The sequence below is a fragment of the Homo sapiens genome, chromosome 11 (assembly GCF_000001405.40).
Source record: "Homo sapiens chromosome 11, GRCh38.p14 Primary Assembly".
In the NCBI taxonomy this organism is placed as follows: Eukaryota; Metazoa; Chordata; class Mammalia; order Primates; family Hominidae; genus Homo; species Homo sapiens.
In genome coordinates, this window is record NC_000011.10 from 31,640,071 (window position 1) to 31,662,868 (window position 22,798).

At 31.8% G+C, this 22,798-nt stretch overlaps 1 protein-coding gene across 3 annotated transcripts in view, besides 8 other annotated features; it reads left to right on the plus strand.

Annotated features, from left to right (window-relative positions):
• The window catches only part of ELP4 (elongator acetyltransferase complex subunit 4), a 280,558-nt gene that overhangs the window by 130,304 nt on the left and 127,456 nt on the right, over positions 1-22,798 (plus strand). For all 3 annotated transcript variants that reach the window (NM_001288725.2, NM_001288726.2, NM_019040.5), the window contains exons 8-9: positions 7,671-7,779; positions 10,045-10,151. In NM_001288725.2, the coding sequence (NP_001275654.1) occupies positions 7,671-7,779; positions 10,045-10,151 (216 nt within the window). The remainder of the gene's footprint in view (positions 1-7,670; positions 7,780-10,044; positions 10,152-22,798) is intronic.
• Positions 735-21,025: a DNaseI hypersensitive site, noted in NCBI's record as "region spanning HS 1-8; the nucleotide coordinates are approximate for this feature". NCBI's record gives the evidence for it as "EXISTENCE:in vivo cleavage assay evidence [ECO:0001075][PMID:11590122]".
• Positions 735-22,798: part of a biological region, named in NCBI's record as "PAX6 downstream regulatory region", that runs on past the window's edge. NCBI's record gives its function as "regulatory_interactions: LOC106014249 | PAX6".
• Positions 3,791-4,085: a silencer, noted in NCBI's record as "tiled region #7281; HepG2 Repressive non-DNase unmatched - State 23:Low". NCBI's record gives its function as "represses a minimal TATA promoter and a strong SV40 promoter by Sharpr-MPRA in HepG2 cells {active_cell/tissue: HepG2}" and the evidence as "EXISTENCE:reporter gene assay evidence [ECO:0000049][PMID:27701403]".
• Positions 5,454-7,290: an enhancer, noted in NCBI's record as "HS6". NCBI's record gives its function as "enhancer in precerebellar neuroepithelium and anterior extramural stream as well as some optic and olfactory cells" and the evidence as "EXISTENCE:transgenic organism evidence [ECO:0001131][PMID:22220192]".
• Positions 5,797-5,997: a silencer, noted in NCBI's record as "peak1241 fragment used in MPRA reporter construct". NCBI's record gives its function as "represses an SCP1 promoter by STARR-seq MPRAs in K562 erythroleukemia cells {active_cell/tissue: K562}" and the evidence as "EXISTENCE:reporter gene assay evidence [ECO:0000049][PMID:32103011]".
• Positions 8,182-11,589: an enhancer, noted in NCBI's record as "HS5+". NCBI's record gives its function as "enhancer in olfactory epithelium, diencephalon, and other areas of the brain and eye" and the evidence as "EXISTENCE:transgenic organism evidence [ECO:0001131][PMID:22220192]".
• Positions 12,442-17,014: an enhancer, noted in NCBI's record as "4.5 kb HS234 fragment". NCBI's record gives its function as "enhancer in optic primordium, retina, and olfactory tissue" and the evidence as "EXISTENCE:transgenic organism evidence [ECO:0001131][PMID:11590122]".
• Positions 15,020-16,219: an enhancer, noted in NCBI's record as "MED14-independent group 3 enhancer chr11:31676638-31677837 (GRCh37/hg19 assembly coordinates)". NCBI's record gives its function as "activates an origin of replication core promoter dependent on BRD2, BRD4, P300/CBP and CDK7 cofactors, and independent of MED14, by STARR-seq in HCT116 cells {active_cell/tissue: HCT116}" and the evidence as "EXISTENCE:reporter gene assay evidence [ECO:0000049][PMID:35650434]".

Here is a 22,798-nt window from a genome sequence, read left to right on the forward strand (position 1 = left end):
TGGACACAACTGTTCTGGGAGCAGAAGGGGGTGTGGGGAGCCCTGTGTGTTCAAGCTACATGAATATGGTAGGAGAAAAAGAGGGGAAATGATCTTTTACATTATTTTTATCATAAACTATCTTCTATATCACTTTTTGTGTATAGAAAACAAGTACAACTTTATTTAATTTTTCATTTATTTTACAAATAAAATTACTAAATTTTTTTCTTTGGCATTGTAAGATATCTGAAAAATACCTGTGAGAAAACATGAGTTTTGAATTATTCCTATTTATATACTTGGTTACGTACTTTCCCTTAAAGAAAGATTACCGTCATCAAATGTGAATGATACTTATTTTTTAATGTTGAGACCAAACATGCTTGTAAACAATTACAATTTAAAGCTGTTTAAGTACCACGTCAGATATTATGTCCTAGTGTTATGTTTTATCCCTTTCCTATTAATTACATTATTATTGCTATATGAAGAGTTCTTGCTTCTTTAATAATGTTTTCGCACCCTATGTAGTTAATCTTTAATGTTGGGAAGGACAGGGGAGAGATTAAATTAGGCTTGTAACCTCTTTTTCTTCCAGGCTGATGATAGAAAATAAAAGCTCTTAGCCACAAAATGTAACACTTAGAATTAATATTTAATTAGACTAGCAAATTGTACACTGTGGCTGAAAGCTTCCAAAGAGTTGTTAGTGCCACAATTGACCTACAGGTTTAATAATAACTCACTTCTAGAAGCAAGTGCCAGTTCAGCATAGTAGAGCCACTGTAAGAAAGTCCTGAGAGATTAAAATCAGCAAACCAAATGGCAGGCAAGGATTCCTGGGATGGAGCCTTCTGGAAAGCTGGGAGCTGGAATAGCTTTTAAGCCAGGATTCAGATGAGAACAGTGGGTGAAAAAGCTGATCCCTCCTGTTCTGGGAGCTTCTGGTTGTAGGCCAAAATCTTAGAACAGATTTTTACTAAATGTTTTTGCTGCAGCTATTAACTTACATTGAAAATCAAATATTGAATAATTTTTCTGTAAAATTTAGCAAACTTTTTGTGTCAACATTAGTTCTTAATTTCTTACATATTAGTACATAATATCTGTAAACTCAGATCATTAGATTATCAGATAGGTTTGGCGCTGTACATCTATGCTGTTTTGCTGTGACATGCTGTTTCCTTGTTCCCTGTATAGTTGATTTATATGGTTCATTTCTATATTATTTCATTACGGGGCATTATGCAGAGCCTGAGAAAGAGATTGTGAAGTCTGTAGCCCAAGAATTTTTTTTCTTCAAGAAAGTGTATATATCAACAAACATAATTCAAAGGCATTCTTAATTTTTAAAGGCCTTATATTATAAAAGCAATGCTATATTTTATGTTTATGATGCACTTAAATTACAAGATAAATAATTTGACCTCCTGGTGAAACATTGGATCTTTATATTTTTGCCAAATTGATCTGGTGAAAATAAGACACCCTGAGTTTGAAAATGCGCAGACTGAAAGGGGGGCACCTTACATAATTTATTGATAGTATCTTAAATAATTAAAGAAAAGCTAGTCATTTGTTCAAAATTCAAGCAGGTGAGGACCTTGCCAGCAGAGGGAGTAGTTCTGTCTTCCGTCAGGTTCCCATCATTTTCCCACCTGCCTCAGCCTTTTTCCCAGCCAGTCTCCCATCTGGACCTGGCTCTTGTCAACCTGCTCCTGATGACAGGCTATAATTTTATACTCAATATGGGATTATTCTAAGCTGATTTTAAACTTTAGTATCTTTAACCTGCTACTGCATCACAAACATCAGCTGGATGCTCTGTTTGATATTTGGATATTAGCAATTGTTTTTCAAGGCAGGGCGTGAGCTTTTGGACATCTGTGAATTGCATTTTAGGGTTTCAAGTATCAAAGTACTAAAAAAAGATTTCTGATTTAGGAAGTTTCCCATAAAACATTTTTAATCATGAAAGACAAATTTTTCTGTGGGTAGATTTCTTAATATGAAACTAGATGTATAGTTAAGAAAAATGCCTACAATTAATTTTGAATATTATACCATTATTCTGTCCAGCCTATTCATTTCAGTATTTTGTTCATCCCATTTCTGACTTTTCAGAATATGTAAGTTTTTGTAATGTTTTATAGAATAACTTACTGAAAAAGAAACAAAACTAATATAAATAAATGTTCTGCAAAGTATGTTTATTTGAATATTTGAAGCCAGTGTAAATATAATATAAACAATATTTCTGAAAGTAAAACAATGTGTTCTTAAAAAAAGTCTCAATTATAAAGAACCAATATTTTCATATCAAAATTTAGAATATTGAGTATTTGACCATGTAGAAAACACAAAAAGTTGTGGCTCCATTGCCTATTCCTAGTAAAATTTGATATCTTAGCAGTTTTTTTCACCATCAAGGTTAGGAATATTTGCCATTAGCCCCTTTGTGGATACGTTTTGAGCTTTAGGATAAAGAACCAAAATATGTTTGTTTTACAGTTTTCCTATGTGAATATTACTATATGATGCTAGGCAGATAATGTTACATTTAGAATTTTTTTAATTTACAGAAGTTCCTCTGTATTCTAAAATTAACCATGACTTGAAGTTCCGTGTTAAATCTGGAAAGATTTAATCTAATACCGTCATCAGTTTATTACAAATATTCTAAATTTCATGATTATGAACAGAATTATTTTCCCACTATCAAATATTTTTTAATAAAATAAAAATCTAATCCACAGAAGCAAGTGACAACTCTGGAGGAAGTGGGACAAGTTTGTAAAAAGTTAAAAATGTAGTATAAATAACTTTTTATTATTTCACAGTCTTGATTACTGTAGAATGGAAAACCTAATAAGCATGGAAAAATAAATGTCTTATTAAATATCCCCATATTTATCCTTGGATCCAAGCTTATTTTTTGGATTACAGAACAAAGAAAGGTCTTAAGTTCTCCTATATTCATGTTCTCTGCATATCATTTTTCAGAAAATGTTATAAATTGAACTGTTGATTATGACATACTTGCTTTTCTTGTGGGTACTCCCCTCCCCGCTCTCTCCCAACACACAACCACTACATCATGTATTATGGTCAAACGTAAAGTAACTTAAATATTTATCTAAGTCTTCAAAATTAACTTAATAGTGCTTTCGGGCTATTATAGCCCCAAATCTGTTATTTGTGCCATACTCAAATGAGAGCTCTTCCTTTCATATTATTTTTCCTATCTTTCTTAAATAGTATAGAGTAACTCAGGAACTTGCTCTTACTTGAGGCGTTGCATAAATGCTTTATGTTGATTGATTTACCCCTTTCAAGCTTCTTGATAATTAAGTTATTGGTTAATTACTTCTTAATCCTCTTACTAAAATTTTTTCTGGAAATATATTTTGTGTTCGTACAAATTGCATCTTTTATACTGTTGAGATAATTAGTTTTGGGAAAATAAGGAAATATTGAGGGTTTAAGGTATTCTGATTGTTACTTGGTAACTCTAAGTAGATATCTGAACCATTTTTATTAGAAAATTGTAGGAGCTTTAAATGGCAGTGATTAAATTTTTATCTCTTAACAAAATTCATAGTTTTGACTTTAAGAACTTTGATCTGAAAGGGAGCATTAAATTAATCTTCCTTAATTTAAAATCCATTTAACAGATTTGTTTTACCCTAATAAAAAATGTATTACCATTGTATAATGGCAAACAGGAAACACTCTATGAAACCAAACAGAGAACAGTCAAAACAAATACTCTGAAGGTTTTTTTTTGAAATTAAAATTGAAATACAAAGGTAGAAGACTGGACAATCTGATTTGCTTTGCTTATTTGCAACACCATTTGACATATTTTAAATTTAAATGATTAATTAAATTATGTTGCAACAGAAAACTTTAAGAGCCCTTTATGTAACTTAATACAATGCTATTTGAGATTGCCAGCAAACTCTTAAAACTCCTGGACACTGGCTTTCCTCTCTTCTGGCTTCCCTCCTAGTCATGTCTTGGCTACTATCCAGAGCTGACAACTCTCACCCAGGAGCGCAGGGAGATTTGTCTAGGATAAGAAGGATTTTTGAGCCATCCTACATTTTAATATCCAGATGGGCAAGGAGGAGGGGTGGCAATATCATTGTACATACTTGGGTGATGTCATTATAACATACATACACCATAAGCATTAATTTACCCAGATTGGTGAATTCTGAATGTCCTTACTGAAATGTTCCGTACTGGAAACGATATTGTAACAACTTGAAAATTAATGCAAAGATTATGTTCAAATTTAAGTAATTGACGTACAAATGCCTCTACTTCTCCATTTCTATCTATTAATATATACTGAAGACCAAAGGGGTTTTACATCTTGGTGAATAACATAAAAACACTTGGAATCTGTTAAAATGAGAATATGGATGTTCCAGTTTCAAGGCCTCTGCTCAGATCATTATGCTAAAGCTTTCTGAACACTGCTGGTTATATTATGACAATTTATTATCCATAGTGTATTCCTGCTAAAGTGAATTGTGATTATTATGCTTTTATGGGTTTTTTAAGCTGTTAATTTTATATTCTTCTAAGTAAATTCACCTGCTTTTATCTAAAAGACCATTTAGTATTAATATTATTATTTGAAAGACTTTTTGACAAGAATGATTTTAAGGTAAGATTACATCAATAGACCATATTCCTTATGAAGCTTGGAGGTGCAGAAGTAATCTATAACAATTTTTTTAACTTTTTAAAACACATACGTTTATAAGCCCAAATATCTTTTATGCTCCTACACATAACTAGAAGGTTGAATAAGTTTATAGTAAAAATAAACATTTTCTCAGTCAGAAACTTAGATGTTATTCTTATGTAATTTCCATTGCTTTTTATTCTATAAATGTTTTTCAGATATCCCTACAACTTTCACAATTAATCTGGTCTGCCACATTATACAAATAATTTTGCAAAATAAATGTGCAGAAAGCAGTAAGATCACTGTGAAACTATATAACTAATTTTATGGTAATAGTATGATGAAAAATTATTCTTGTACTAATACTTTATGGAAGTTTTTTCAATAGACTCTTGTTTATAGTTAATGACTATGATGCAAACCTGTGAAACTTAGAAATATAATAAATGAAATACATGAATGAGTTTCTGGAAAATTGTGAAATCTAGGCTGTGCATATTTTTCAGTTAGAATTCACTAGTTTTCCCTTTCGAAGTGGATAACTGATTTTTTTAAATCTCCCACAAACTACCTTTAAAAGACTTATAAAGTTGATAAACATTATAGGATGTAAAATGGTTTATTAGTAAATGTTAAGATTAAATGAAAGAAGTAAATCCTCTTTGAAATAAGCAAATGTCAGGTTGACCATTTAAATACACAGTACTTTGCTTATGTACTATCAGAATGGAAATTTATCTCATCTTTAAACCTTGCAATTTCTGTTATTCATATAATTGAGAAAGTCCTAGTTTATATCACTGAAATCTTGAATAGATGAGTTCTAACAAAAATTGACTTGTATCATTTTAGTTTCAGATATTTAGATAAAAAGGCTTAGTCTTTTATTTATAGATAAAAGGAAATCTGACCTTTTGATTAAGAAATATTGTCAGTAGCCTTTATAAATGCTTGTTCATCTGAGGGTCCATGACAGGAGTACTCTTCCCAGTTGAGTTTATCCTAAAAATGAAATGATAAGAGCCTGCTGGTTATTATCCATGATTCTTCTTAATGGGGGAGCCACATGGTTATTCTTCATCTCCCACTTGTTCTCACCCTTTACTACCAACCCAGCCACACCCCACCCCCACCCCAACATTGTTCAGTACTCAGCACAATGAATCATTTTCAAGTTGACTCATTGTGAACTGTATCCCAGCTGTTGGAATGTCTGGCAGACATTTTTGTTTGGGTGAAGAATAACTGGCTGAAACCCAACCTGGATGAGTTTGATATAATGGTCTTTGGCTAAAGAAATATTGAGAGGAACATGTTTATGGCCTCTGAAGCCCCTGTTATTCCTGGAGTAGGACCATCCCCTGTGGCACAGAACTGAAAGTAAGGAATCAATCTGGATTATTTTCTCACCATTGAATGAAAAATTGCCTTAGAAAAAATAGGCATTTCCAAACTATGTTTTTCTATACTTAGTGTGCCCACGTGATTGAACATATTAAAGACAATTAAGAATAATTATTTTTACTGATTCTTTTTAACAACACTGATCCAAAGGCTGAAACATTCCTTGTATAATGCTGAAACATTCTTTATATAACACACATTCCAACTTATGAAGGAGTTTCAAATACTGCTCTAGGTGTGAGTTAACCAGTCATTTCAACAGAATGTTTGGTGACACAGGCTACTATGTGTTTCATAATACCAAGTCAGGTAACATTGACCAGCCCTCTTTAATTTTTCATTCTTAGGCCATCTTTATAAAGGGACTTAAGAAACAAGAATATTAGTAAGCTCAGTTGTAATCATGTTCCCAGAAAATGAAAATCTTTTATTATATTTGACCTCTTTCTAACAGGGGATATAGCAGGCTGATAAATTTTCTTGACTGTTTTATATTTCCCATTCTCTTCTTCAAAGATTAGTTTTAAACTGGTGGGCATTACCATTGTATAAAATGAGAGTTTCAAAATTGCAAAATTTTACAAAAAACATTTTCAGCTTATCTAGATCTGCCAAGCAAAAAATTGTCTAAGACATCATAGCATATAATCACAGTTTTCTAATCTACCACCCTGTCAGGGGCTAAAAGGAATACTAGATTTCCAGTAATTAAAGAATTAAAAAAAAAAACCCTACCAGATATTTGATGATTATATTCTTATAGCCAGGAGATTCTTAGTATTTTAGAACTTTTGCTACTTAATAACTGGACATACTATGTTTATAAACATATTAACCTATTGTTTTGATCTGGCAAAATGTGACATTTATTAAAATGTATTTAGCAGTATTTCAGTTCATCTCAGATTGTGTCGAGAAATAAAGGATAGGCTACTGGTCTAAATGTTAGTCATCTACCATCTTTTCTTTCCCTTTATTATTATCCCAGAGCCAAATGGCAGCATCTGGAAAGAGAAAACAGAAGACTTCATAGCTAGCCATGTTGCAGTCTCTTAGCTGGTCCTTTCCATGTTTCTAATATGTCACAGAGGACCTCAGCTGTTATAGGGCTGGGACCTTGTCCCAGCTGACAGACGACAGTGGGACTCTTGCCCTATACTTTATGCTGTACCATCTACTGCTTCTGAATCCTGCTGTCTGACAGGTTTTCCAATGGGCATTGGATGAAGTAATTTGAAAAATAATCATGTATGAGAATAAAGGTAGTCTTGTTCCTTAATACAAGTGAAAAATAATCAATTTATGTTCTCTATCAGAACTAATAAATTTATGTCTTCTACCAATTTATGTTTTCCCTTCAGTTCTTCAAATTAGAATAGCATGACTACATGGGCCAGCATTTTCAATTAAGGGCATATTTCCATCCAGTTTTCAGCCTATAGTAGCTTTAACTTTTAAGTTATTTCACTGTTGATAGTCTATCTCCACTACAGTTTTTCATGAGATGGCATAGGGATATTTTATAGATATTATACTATTAACATAATATTTAACGTTACTGTTTTGTTTCCATGTTTTGCAGAATAAAGCCATTATTGCCCGTGTCACAACCTTGTCAGATGTAGTAGTTGGTCTGGAATCATTTATTGGTTCTGAGAGAGAAACTAACCCATTGTATAAGGATTATCATGGTAAGTACAACCTTCATAATGAGAAGAGCAGGAGCAGGCTGCTTCTAGGTTACCTGGAAGCATCCTATTCAATCCAAATATCTACTGTCAAGGAGTATGAATTTTATAATACACCTGTTAAATATTTTCCATTCCTGTCCAGTCTTCCATGGCAGCTTATTACCCAACTACATTAAGACTATAGACTATAATAACTGAAAGGAGTCAAACCCAAGTACTGAGGCATGGCTGAGTCAGGTGTATATTTTGTCATCCTAGTGGCTTAAGGTAGCCATGTAATCAGTCATACTTACTAGCCATGTTTGAAATAAATATCGTATTAATTCTAATAATGACAGTTTTCTATAGCAGTTTATACTTTACAAAGCCTAGCCATATGATAAGATACATACTGGATTATATTTACAGATTCCTAGTCAGTTACATTTTCAGAAAGAGAAGATCTTTGATTATGTTTGAACTTTTCTCTGTTTACTCATTTTCTTGTTAGTATGAGTTATGAACAAATTATAAAATATTGCCACCTTGATATAAACACAGCAGAATTCATCAGACTTTTGCTTATTTTTTTTTTTTACTTTTAGTAATATTGTAGTCATTTGGTTAATTTGGGGATTCTTTTTAATAAAGAGTCTTATGTAGAACTATATGAATAGTAAAAGTGTAGTATTTAGGTCTTAGTAATATAGGTCTAAAACAAATATAGAATGTAGTGAATAACAGATTTTTACCTATTATTCTTAGTATAAATAAATTATTGCTACCATTGTTATGGAACTACCATACTTCTGTGGAAACCTCTAAAGACTGAGTAGCTTATTTGAAGCCTGCTACCAGATTTTATAAGACAAGTATTATGAGCTTATGCATTTTGTAAAATATTTTATATTCTAAAAAATATTATTTTGATTAAAATATTGCAAAGGTTGAAAGGCTATGATTCTTTGTGCTAAAATCTCTGAATTGATAAATTATTTTCCACCGAGTAAAGAGTGGTTCTAATGACTAGTATGCTTTCTGTTAATAAGGAGGACCTGATGATGAAATTATTAATTTATTCTATAAGGCCTCTTGATAGCTAAGCAAGCACATTCAAGGTTAAAATAAGAAACGTACAAATAAAAGTATGGTGTGCTTATTTCTAATAAATATATTTTACTAAATAGTATGTATGAGATAGTCTTAATTTGTAGCCAAAAGCTGTCTTCTTGAAACACCTTTTAAATTTTTTTAAGTTTGAAAAATTTTCAGGTATTTTAGTTAATTATTTTTGAAGAGGCCATTTCTAAAGCTAAGTACCTTTAAAGGTTTAAGCTAAGACTAATAGATGCATTATTAAGCATTTAAACACACATACAAAACCTTGTACTAGAGAAGCAGTTCTGTAAGTAAGATTTGTCTCTTTGTTCAAATCTGTAATTTGCCTTTCCTCCCCATGTTTTGGATCAGTGTCCTCGGGATGGCGATTTTTAAATATAAGCTGAGTCAGGCAGAAAGATGTAGTGAAGAACCTTCCATGTCTTCATCTGTGGGAAATGACCCCTAGTTTAGTCAGAAACTACATTAGGCTGCACAAAAGCTATCCAGTGCCCTTGTCAGAAAAAATTAGCAAGTGTTTCTACTGACAAGAGGCCAAAGCTCATGGTTTACCTAGCACTGTTGCAAAGCTTATAGCAGCTACATAAAGGTCTAACATGCCATAGAAATGAGTGTCTTGGGATGGCATAGGGGTTAATGTTTGGTCCTAGAGTGTACTTTGAAATGTAGTTTTCTTCAATGGTTTGTTCAAGTCATTAATAAGGTACAAAATGAAATATTTTTCATGAGTGCTTCACTGGTTATCAGTAACCCATAAGCCTTGTTTTGCCGGCTGCTTAGTGGTGCATTTAATAAAATAAAGATCACTCAGTGGTGCCGTGGGCAGCATGCAAGGTGATAGCCATATTTGCTTACTGTAAATACAAGAGAAAATCACACACAAACCGGCTGTAGTTTTGACAAGTATTAAGATCCCTCTTTACATCTGTACTTCTGTACCAAAGTGCAATTAGTTTTCCTCGCACAAGGATTTCTGTTTATCTTATTCTGCTTGATTACTTGAGTATAATCACACCATTTGCTTCATTGCTCCTGGTAGTAAGCTCCAGTTTTAAAAGGGGAGGATGCTTGTGTGTAAATTTACAGGATTCTGCTATAAGACTGTTTAATTTATGCATCTGATGACAATGTTTTAAATTTTTTTTCTTTTAATTTCTTTTCCACAAGGATTGATTCATATACGGCAGATTCCTCGGCTTAATAACTTGATCTGTGATGAATCAGATGTCAAAGACTTAGCTTTTAAATTAAAAAGGAAGCTATTCACCATTGAGGTAAGAGAATTTTTATGTTTTAGTTTACAATCTTGAGATAAACTTATTTTTAACTTATTTTTACTTTATTTTATTTTCATTTTCACTTATTTTTACTTTAATGAAATTCTTAGGACATGTTTTATGCTAAGTATTTTTAAGTTCTTCTAATATAACAATAATTTTTTAGACTATTGTTTTATTTTTACAATATATCAAGTATGGCAAAGATGATTTTCTTTTGAATATCTATTAAAAGTAAGCTCCAAACTTACATGATAAATATGATATGCATATTTCCATGGCTTTGAAAAGCATATTTAATTAAGTGTTAATGAGCTGCGCTTACTTGGGTGTGGAATGTGAATGCTACCCACTATTGTCTGTGGCTAAGAGGATTCTTATCTACATTTTAAAAGCATTTTTCTTTACTGTTAGTGAAATTACCTTTCCTCGTGTGGAACTAAACAAATTATAATTTACACTAGTGTCTTTAAGTACATTTTCTAAGACACTACAACTTTTTTTGTGACCCTTACGTAAGCAATGGTGACAGAAAGTAGTAGGACAAAATATTTATTTCAACTTAATCTTCCTAAAGAGCAAATGAACAGAGAACTATTAAGGAATTAGAATTGATGTATTTATTAATGAAGTAAATGCTCAGAGAGAGATGGCTTTTGGGTGATGTGATAGTTATCAGTATAGTCGGTGCAATTTTTTTTTAACAAAGACATAAAACAGCCAAGCAGCCTTGACAAACCATTTTGTTTAATCTCTTTTCAAATGAAAAGCTCCTAAGCAGGCCACTTGTCTTAACTGCTTGAAACCATAAAAAGAGAGAATTGCCACCAATAAATTAGCATATTTTTAACTTCATCACCAAATGATGGTCAATGTGGCTTGGCACTGCTTTGGTGTTTGGGACTTCACCCTTAAGTGACCACTTTGGCCCTTTTTTGACCCTCTGCCCTCTTTAAGCTGGCCACTTGATAAGGTAACTTAATGGTTCTCTCTCTTTTTCTCTTTCCCTTCACATTTGCAAGTAGCACTAACCTATAAATCATTGTAAGGGCCCTATCCAGTGACAAATTAATGTGCCCTCCTCCTAATTAATGGTCATCAATGTCCTTAATTATCTAATCCTATTGAGAGCAGTTAATAGTTAATCAGGCAGCCAGTTCTTCAAGCAGGTCATCTCTGCAGGAGTGTTAGAAGTTTCTCATCTGGGGACACTCCCTTCAAAAGCCACTTAAAGCCAAAAGAGTGAGAGTGTGGAAATAGTGATTCTTGAGCTAATTTGCTTTAGTTCTCAAAAGAAACCATTGAAGTGGAACCCAACACTGTAATTGTTCAAACATTGTTTCAGCTTTTCTGACAGAATACTGAGTAATGTACCATAATATTGCTTAAAACATTGAGAAGGATACAGTTATAGTTTAGTGTCACAAGGAAAGCATGATTATCGTTTTCTTTTGAGTTTACATTTTTAATGGAAGACGTAAGTTTTTTCTCTCCATGTGGCACCTTTTCCCCAAAATCAGTATTCTAACAACCACATCTGAGACACAATTTCTATTACCATACAAACTAAGCAAGATGATTCCCCTGTGAAAGTAAATATTGTACCCAGAGAAGAAAGTAGTACAGTAATGTGAATCATGTTTATGATTTCTCTTTCTCTGTCTCATTGAGTCTTACTGGGAGTTGAGGGAAAGAGAGAAATAAAGAACTTACGTGATGTCAAGCGGGACCTCTCCTCTGAATAACTTTAGGTTCTAATAGTAACTACACTTCACCATCAGAGCTGATGAAAGATCTTTTATTAACCACACAGATTTCTGTTCCATTTTCTCTCTTGTTCCCACTATGGTAAACTAAGAATCATTATAATTGGTCAACCTGTGGTTTAGAAGCAATGTTTGAAAACAAAACACAAATAGACTGTTGTTTCTTAAAATTCTATATACTCAAACTCTGCACCTTTTTGTCTAATAACCTAATCACTTAAGTTTTTTGAGTTTTTTTGTTATTTTAATATAAATATACACATTCTAAATAACTTATTTACTTAAGCCATAATACTCAATTTAGTGATTAGAAAAAATAAAAATTAAGGAATCAAACAAACCAAATGGAAGTACATATATAGGTATAATTAGAATAGAATAAAATCATGTGGTTCACCTAAAAGTAAATGTTTTAAATGTAGCATTGTACATTCTAAAATGCATATCCAAACAGATAGCAAGTCTTTGTAATATATTAAAGAAACTAGAAACAGGGGTAGAAATGCCCTGAAAGTAACTAGTTCAAGGATTCCTTTATTGGGGGTAAAATCATCGAGCAAATGCTACTGTTTTAATACTCACAACAAATAAATGTTCTTTTTAAATGTCCTCATATTTTTTTAAAAATAAAATGTAACCTTACTAGCCTGTAAAGTCTGAGACTAAAATAGGTAGTCTACTGAATCTGAGTCTTACTTTCAGAAGTAAAAGAGTTGAATCTGACATTGAATCAGGCAGTGAATCAGAGTCTCACTTTCAGAAGTGAAAGGTAGTTTAGCAGGGAAAGCAGAAATAACATTTCCAATTCCACAGGCAGATTTGTTACATGTTGGAATTTACTGTCAGTCACATGGTCTCAAAAGGGGGCAAGGTTGGAAACAAGGGGCAAAAGAAGCAGACAAGCACTCTCATCTCTATTTTTAGGGCAACTTTTTTTTAATTTGTTAAGTCATTGCCCTTTATGTGTATGAAAACTGATTATCTTTTTACTAGCAGCTACCAAGGGCCTCTAACAGGTAGAGCAACTTTAACTCATAGTCTCTAATTTCTTTGAGTGATTTGGAGAAAGCAAAGGAATATTTCTTCCTTCTCAGAGTATATGTTGGTATTGTCCAGATTCAAGTGAAAATATTTATCTAATCAGAGTAAAAATTTTTGCCGATACCTGTAACTACAAAGCTCTATAAATTAGCCCCTTTACAAAAACCATAGCAGAATCATATCCATACTAATTGCACTAAAATCCTGACATGCATTCTGGATAAGTAAAAGTCAAAGTTTGAACTATGATTTCAGGTTAAAAGAAATAGCTTTCCAATTCTTTGAAAACTGGTGACTCTTATAAGCTATATATAGTAACAGTCTGGAGTATTTGATTAACCATTATATACTACTTATTCCTTGATCTTAACCAGATCGAATTTACCTAACCTTGCCTAACCTCCATTTAATCATAGCAAACATTTGTTGAGCCTTTGTTAAGTAGCAAGTACTATACGAGCTTAGTTATATTTTTATATAGTGATTAAATATTTTAAACAAAAGCTTTACTAAGATATAATAATAGATTCAATACACATAAATGGTGTCTTTTTCATCTTTATATCTATCTAAGAATCAAGGACAGGGTTATTTACTTAATAGGTATAAAGTCTTTGCTGAAATGTATGTAATATAGATAAATTATGAATGGGCTTTTAAAAATAGTGCAAATAATACAGCTATAAATATGACATAAGCTTCACCAGTCAAGTGACCCGTACACACTGTGTTCTTAGTTACGTGTAAGATAACTTGAGTACATGGCGTCACTTCCAAGCTAAAATAACTGGTTAAACTTGCATTTCTTAGCTTCTGTAATTTTTGCTTCTTTAATATCAAGCGATCATTAACCAGTTTTTTCTTTAGTAATTATGATGTAATTATAGTACATAAACAAGTAAGATTAGGCAGAATTTGAAATATGGCTGCATGTTTGATGACATAAGTGCAACATTTTCACTTGCACTTAATAATATTTTGCTATTTTGATTTTGCACTTTCAGCTCGATCATACTGTAGCACATTCTAGTCATAAAATTATCTAATATAAATGATAATAATGTATTATTATATTAGTTGCACCATCCATTAAGGTTTTCACAAAGAGAGTTTCCACTTTGGTAATGGAACAGTTTTCCAGCTCAAAGATTCGGTGTTTCTAAGTTCAAGTCAGAGAGTACAGTAACTGGGTTAACACTGAAATATACAAAAGACTTACACTGTAAAGAAATATACTGTAAAGACTTACAATATTTACTACGAATTTTCAATATAAAGATTAACACTACTTGTGTAGGCTGTAATTGGTCAAAAAAATAGTGTCAAAGTAAATCATGTTTACTCAAGGTTGTCTTATCATACTTTGTCCCTAATTCAGAATAGGACCTCAGTACCTCTCCAGTCACCAAGAACTTTTTCTCACAAAATAATTGACCAACCAGTTTTTATTAAGTAGCTATTATTTTTTATGTACTCATGTAATAGATTTATTCTCAAGTATTAAGACTAGAATAGAATCAATATAAGTTAGATTTATAATTATATTGCCATATAACTTGGTACTATTCAGTAGGATTATTCAATAAGATTATTATTTACATATTGGAAAAGCATAAACTCTTACCAATTACAGGACAGGGGTGCTAGTAGCTATGATAATGTGTAATAATTTGGAGTATTTCATGATATGTTTGGTCCTAGGTTTACTTTATTTCTTATGCTTATTTTCAGCAGCCTTTCTAGTTTTTAAATGAGAAGTAGAATGTTGAATATGTTTACTGTATCTAGAGATGGGAGCAGGATGGTTAACTTGCTTGTCAACTCACAATTATGTTACTAAAATAAAATAATGGAAATATAAATGTCTGGCTTGGGAGCCTTCTTAAGTTGTAGCATCATGGCCTGTAGTCCAATATACTACAAATATTGTTTGCTGTTTCAACTAGCTTTTATTCCTAGATAACACTGCAGCTAGCAGAAAGAAAAGAAAATCAAAGTTGAACATAGGCATCTATTCATTTAGATTAAATCAGTTGTCAAAAATAAACCCAAATTAACATTTTTTAACAATGGAAATCTAATTTTTTACATGTGTACATTTTGATATATTCATTATATTATCATTCTCATGTTTATGCTTTTATTCTCAAGTGATATCAGCATATAATAGCATTACATAGGTTTCAAAGAATCATCAGAAGTTGGTTTAATACTTACTACACTTTATATATTTCACATGCCATAGTTAACCTATCAAAAGTGCATACCACCTTAAGGAGAACACAGTTTTGAGAATCTGTCTAATCCTATTTCTTCCCACTTTGGAATCTTAATTAGAAGAGATAAGAAAAAAAAAAACATCATTTAACTAAATTATTGTCTTGAATCTGTAGCAAAAGGTATAATCCGCAATTGGGCCAATTAGTGAACCCCATAGTTAGCTATGCTGCAGCAAACAATTTGATTAGATCTGACACCATCCTAGTTCCCACTGTTGTTTTGCCAGGTATGATGGTCAGACTTCAAAGAGCTTGAGGCATCAGCAGGGCAAGGTTTGGAGGCCAGCTTAGGTCCGGTTGTTAATCTCTCTGCTAAAACCACAGCAGCTCTCACACAAAACAAGCTTACACGACACAATCATGCGGTATTAAAGTTAGGGTTGAGTCATGCCAATTTCCCTTTGATTTTTTGATGATTGACCAAAGATGGCTACATGACTAGACACATGCTAAAAGTATCCTGATTAGGTAAGTTCCCAAAATATTTGAAGTATTTTTTAACTTCCTATATAAATGTTGTGAAAGCTTATTCCCTTTGATCAAACCTTCCAAAGTAATAGTACTGTACTGGGGAAAAATGAGCATTTCTTACCGGCAACCTGAATATCAAACTTTTCACTTACCTCTTTATATAAATTTGTCTTTATATTAATAATTCCTTAAGGAGAATATATAAGGAAATTGTTTCTAAGTGGTAAGCTTTTGAAAAATCTATTAAGCACTTTGGAAGAAAAAACATTTTTCCCTGAGTCATTTATGTTCACTGACAGTTTTTCTGAAATTTCTTTATAATTGTTTTCCACTTAAATGTTGAGTAAAGTGCCCTTCCAAGATGTGGTTGCATAAGTGTTCTTTTCTCTGCATTCTGATTTGTTGAAATATTGCAGTAATAGTGACATGTTTCCATTCTGAGAAAAGCCTAAGGCTGCTTTAGTATTATTCCAAATGATTGAAACTGCCATCTTGCTGACTTTCCCTTAGGCAGTGTAAGTCCTGTTTGCTTCTGTGTTCATTTCACATGCTTCCTGTTAGTTTGGCTGGCAGAACATCATTGCTTCATTTGGCAAGGAAGAGTAGATTCATATTTGGCTATTATATGTCTTAAAGTTTCTGTGTGGTCATCAACACGTAGGATATGAAACTTATAATTAGTTATATCAAATGAATCATCTTTCTTTGAGAAATATAATTAAAATATGACACCTTGACCGTAATTTTTATATAAAAATCTTCATTTTATAAATTGAACTTAGGGTCTAATATTTTTACATTGCACTATTTATTTATTCATAACTAAGTTACTCAGGAAATTTAAGAAAAGTTGCACGAAGCAAAGTCAAATATTTAGAATCTTACTAACAGTCTCTCATAAAGATACCATGGTTACCTGTAATGCAGTTATCTCAATTTTTAGACCAGGAGGATACAGCCTCAGCATTGTCTAAATATGCAAAGGGGAAAAGGTCTCTTCTCCCTTCTTCCTAAGTTTTGCAGACATAAACATTTATATATGTGTTTTATGGTTTGGCTCCAAGAAAATTATATTGCAGTACTTCGAAGATTTTCTTCAAGACTTTGTAGAACTGCTGTAGCGGAATTAGTCCAGTTTACATGATACTCTCTGAAACACTTCTTTTCATAATGTGTCATTTATAGTGTCTAAGGAAGATAGAAAAAAAGAAAACAGAAAATGATGACAAATCACAGCTATTTCATTTCCTCACTTAAATGTATTTTTCAAGTTCCTAGAAAGTAAGAAGATACATTTTACTAGTATATCCTCCAAGGTGCCTGTAATACAAATGCTTAGTAAATATGGTATCCTTAAGCTTGTGATGTAGGTAGTTTTACAGATACTTTTGTACCTAAAACATTTCAAGTTTAGTCCTGCCTCAGTGCCTTTGCACAGCAAATGTTCAGAATCCTCATCCCTCTGATCTTTTCAAGACCTTTTCATGTCATTTGGATTGTAAATTAACTACCTCAACCTCCTCCTTAGAGAAGTCTGACTGGCCTGTCTGAAGTGTTCACTGAGTTACTCACCCTCATGTACTGTTCGAATTCTCAGTGTAATGTATTTTATAATTGTCCATTAGTTTATTTGTTTATTTTCCCAACCTCACCACTAAAATGTAAGCTCCACAAGAGTAAGGACATAGTATGTCTTATTTGCAGCTAAATCCTGAGTATGTGTAATAGGTGCTCCATAAATATTTGTTAAATTGTGAAACTACAGTTTTTAAAGTAACTCATGCCTACTGTAAGTTTCTTTAAAAACATATATTTGGTATCTACTTTGTTCTAGGTATTGTGTTGGGTGCTTTCATATACATTATTATATTTAATTTTAATCCTCACAGGAACCCTTGCATACATACTATTTCACATATTTAATAAAAAGAAATATACAGGAGTTATATAACCTTCCTTCCCAAAGTCATACATCTGTGGTTACAGCCAGGATTAAATTCAGATCTTCTGAAGTCATATGCAGAATAACACTGGAAAGCTAACATGTTCACAAACTCTGTTAATTATTATTAATTTTAAAAAAAATAAGTTTTATTACATGTTTAACAGAGGCCTAGGACTACTGCAAGTGCTTAAAGGCATTATTTCATAGACCTTACAACTACCCATATAACATTATTATCTTCATTTTACAAATGAGGAAACTTACAGTTTGGAGAGATCAAGCAACTTAACTTATCCGGAGTCACAAAACTGATAACTGGCAGAAATGACACTTAAATTGAAGCCTGTTTTATTCTAAAGCCTGTGCTCTTAACCACCAACTATCTGCCATGCCCTAAGCTGTACTGCTATCTCGTCTTCATTACATAAGCCAGAAAGCCTGTGTCCTGAAGGATTCTTCAATAAAAAATGTTTTTTTAAATCTCAGAAAATGTGTTAATGTGATATATATATATGTAACATTCATATTAAAAATTCTTCTGTTCCCCAGCATGCATTTCTACTTTTTGTAAAATACATTATAAAATTATGATTGGATTAATCACAGCTTCTCCCTTATATAACATGATGTTATTTTATATATATATATATTCATATGTATGTGTGAATACATTAGGGTGATGATATTCTGTTTTTTACTTATTTCTAGTAATATGGTAGGTTTTTATGGAAAAATTAATTTGCAAAAAAAAAGCTATTCTCTAAAATACTATTTACTGTTATAGGATTTCTAAATCCAAAAGAAAGTGAGAAAGTATTGTATACAAAGAAATGTAGTTTTCCTTATCAACTATTTTGATACAGTCTAAAAGTGTGCCAAATTTAATTACAATATATTATGATTGTACTCACTTAAGTTCTATGTTCAGGTACTTTTACCAATATTAATTTGCTTATAGCTAATCAACCTGTTTTTGTATTTTAAATTTTTCTAAGGTATTTTACATTTGTTATTTTCGGAGCATCAAAAATTATCCTGTGAGATAATCAAGGTATATACAACTTTTAATAAGGGTCTACTGAATTCATTTTTCAAATTTCTAATTTTTTCCTCCCCTGTCATCATAACTGGTTCTAATGAAGGTTTGATTCTTTCATATTAAGAGCTATTTTTCTCTTTTGCAAAAAGCTTGATTTGCTGGAAGTTCTTTAAATACCATCTTTAATCAAAATTAAGCAACAAATATTATGATTGTAAAATGTTTTCCTCTTTTATTGATGAATATTATGAAAAAGTTTTCTGCATTTTAGTAATACGAAGAAATTGTTCCTCATTAAGAAAATATAATGATAAATATAAATTATTAGTTTTTAAAAGGTAGAATTGTGGACCATAATAAATAATTAAGAGAAAGTAGAATGTAATGGGAATGTCTTTAACCCAAAAACTGGTAAAGCGGTTCTCTTACTTAAGTAGAAATTAAAAATTTGGGAAATTTATTACTGTCATCACTCCAAGTCACAGTAGACATTTTATAGAGTAGCCAGTTTAGGTTCTTTGTATCTGGTATCGTGAAATTCACTGAACTGTTTTGTCAGGTGCTGTCAAGTCAACCCACCATTGTTGTAGAGAATCAAACTAAATCATTTTGGCATGAGCCTTCCAGAAATAAGATACCCAAGATGAAGGGTTTAATGAAACTGAGTATTTGGCTTCAATTTTTTGTCAGAATGTCAAATATATATTGCACTCATTCAAAAATTTCTGAGTAAATCAGTTGAAATACCTGACCCTATGCTTTATTGAAAACTTGTTTCAAATATTATTGCTCAATATAAATGATATTTGGAATGTATTTGGGTGTTTTTTAAGGTATAGGATTCTTCATTGAACATTTCAAATAATAAAACTTGAACGTATATAGTCATTTAATAAAAAGAGAGAAGTATATTTTACTACGATTAAAGTTTTCCATTATAGGCTCAGTGCAGTGGCTCACACCTGTAATCTCAGCACTTTGGGAGGCCGAGGTAGATGGATCACTTGAGGTCAGGGGTTCGAGACCAGCCTAGCCAACCAAAATAGTGAAACCCCATCTCTACTAAAAATGTAAAAATTAGCTGGGCGTGGTGGCAGGCACCTGTAATCCAAGCTACTTGGGAGGCTGAGACAGGAGAATTGCTTAAACCCAGGAGGTGGAGGTTGCAGTGAGCCAAGATCATGCCATTGCACTCCAGCCTGGGCAACAGTGCGAGACTCCATCTCAAAAAACAAATATCAATTTTGATTGAACTATCTTTGTTTCCAAAGGCTATTAAAAGCAAAGTTGTATTTAATTACATTTCTTGTCTTTAATTAATGAAATGTTTATTAATTTTCTAAATAATTATATGAATGAAAAAAGCTTATCTTTCTGATCAATAGTTATTTAAAAGGCATTATTATAGTGTAGACTTAAATGCCTCAAACTTTTCACTTACATATTTTGAAACGGGCTTTTTTGTTGATATTTCTGCCGGATCCATAAGAAATATTTTCCCAGCTTGTACTGTAGCTATGGTGTAGCATTGAAAAAGATGGTAACAAAAAGCTTCTTGGTGCAATTAAAGGTCACTTGTACATATTGTAATAGGCTACTCATTTACAAGATCTTTGTGAAGGGTCAGTGCTATAGCATGAAGTGGATTGCCCTTGTTGATCCTGTAAATAAATGGGTAAACTTCTCTTGTAGTCAGTAGGCAAAGAAAAGGCTAGCGCAAAGTAGCTTATCAATATTTTTACAAACAAAATGCTAAAATGTTGACCAAAACCAAATGCAATAGGACTATATACTTGATATAAATAATAATAGAAAATGATTAAAATACATAGTTACAGCTTTTAAGGGAAAATTGCTTACACATATGTATACACATATGTACTTGTTTTTTTTTAACATATGAACCATATTTAAGTGTAGCAAAACACAACACAGTGATAGTGTTCAACTCTCCTTTACCATAAAACTAGCATGTTTCAAAGTAGTTGGGATTTATACAGTCTATCTTTTCTGCATTGAGATTCAAAATTTGTCATGCATAAGTATGAAAAAGGAATCCAACTAGATAGTGATTTGTTTTAATTATATTTCATAGCCTTTTCAATAAGTCTTAGAAAAAATGGTGGTCCAGATAAAGTATTAGTAATGATCTATTCTGAATGAATTAATAATGATCTGTACTAAATACAAAGAAAATATTTTCTTTCAACAATTTTAATACACTTAGATTTTACATGTTATGTATGTATATTTGTGAGATACAAGTCATTTTTTAATCTCGAAGAAATTTTAAAAATATAATGAAATATATTTGTTCAACACTTTCTAGATTCTTCTCTCTATACTTGCATATTCAGACACAGCAACCATACACACACCCCCTTAATATTTTTTATTGCTGTGTACTATCAAAAAAATGAAATTTCTAGTCAATGTCAAACAATACCTTCTAGGATTAACAAAAGTAATTTAACAATGGGTTTGAATCAAGAAGCAAATAATGATAAATTAACCTTTAAAAACCTGTAGGACTGATTGGTGTATAAAAATACTAAGGCCAAAGGCCAATCATGAAGTAAGTATCCAAGAAGAGCACTATTTCAAGTAATCTTCTCTGCTTTTTATTTAGTTCTTGAATATCCATTCTGCACTGTTTTGTTTGTTTTGTTTTGCCATACTTTAGTACACGGAAAACATCATGCATTTCTTTTATAAAGTATCAAACTTTGGGAAAATATCATTCTTTTAGAGCATAGGTGTTATAAACGTAGGTATTTTTATTCATCATTGTATCTCCCTTTCCTAGTTCATTGCCTGATCATATAAGTGCTCGTCAAATATTGCATGAATGGATAAATGAATGAATGTCCTCTTGATATTGCTCAAAACATGTAAGAGGGTGTGACCATTAAAAAAACTCATTTCAGATTATACGGAATAGTTTGATAGTGTGAATACAGTTTTCTTTAGATGCTTAATATATTTCTAAGGTTTTACGTAAGTAAAACAACCTTCAAAAAATATCAGCTAATAAGATAATGAGCTGTTATTGTTGAAAACAGTTCATGAGACTTATGAGTTACAGATGAAATAATTATGTAAAATGGAATTTTAACACATTTTGGATATTCTACAATTTTATTTAAATACACATTATCAGTAAAGTAACTGATACCACTTCCATAACAGAATCTAGGACTAATCCTTATTGAAGAATCATCCTATTGACCTCTTTATTATACACTTGAAGCTGACAAATTCCAATCTGGTTCTTCAGTTTGGCTTGTTCAGAATTTTTTCCTGAGAAACCATTCTGATCCAAACAGAAATTTAAATTAAGGACAATTATATGTAGGAGAAAAGCTTTACAGTGTGTGATTTATAACTGAATGCATTTCATTAAGATATGTTATTGACTTAATGTGTAATTCAGTCAAAAACAAAAAAAGTACATGTAAAGATATTTTGGAAATGTGATGTAGTCTTAATAGTACTATAAACATGAGCAATTTCTTTAGCATTCAATTATTATCACATTCCAATCATTTCATTGGAAATGTTCTTAAGCTTTTGTCCACATAAAAGTGGGTAAATAAAGGGCAATATTAAAGCAACTATGCCCCTGTTGCAATAGAACATGTGATTAGCAAACTATGGCCCATGGGCCAAATCCAGCTCCATGTTGTTGTTGTTGTTGTTGTTTTAATACATTTTATTGTAACAGCCATTCCTATCATTTTGTCTATGGCTGTTTTCACAGTGCATCACTAAGTTGAGATCTTACGACCTGCGAAGGCAAAGATATTTTCTGTCTCGTCATTTACAAAGAAAATTTTCTATAAAGAAGAACCCCTACTTTAAAAAGCCGCATACTTTAAAGAAAATTTACTGAGAGAATTGTCAATTTGGTGATAATGATTTATACTCTTAAAATTAAGCTTTATTTGAAAAATAACACATACAGTCATTTGCTGTGTAATTTGCACTTGTAGAATTTATGCAATGTCTTTGACAAAATACCTAGATTTTTCAAATAGTCTGCATTAATGTCTCTCTGAGAAAATACCTAGATTTCATAAAAGGTTAAAATTGGAAGGGAGCTT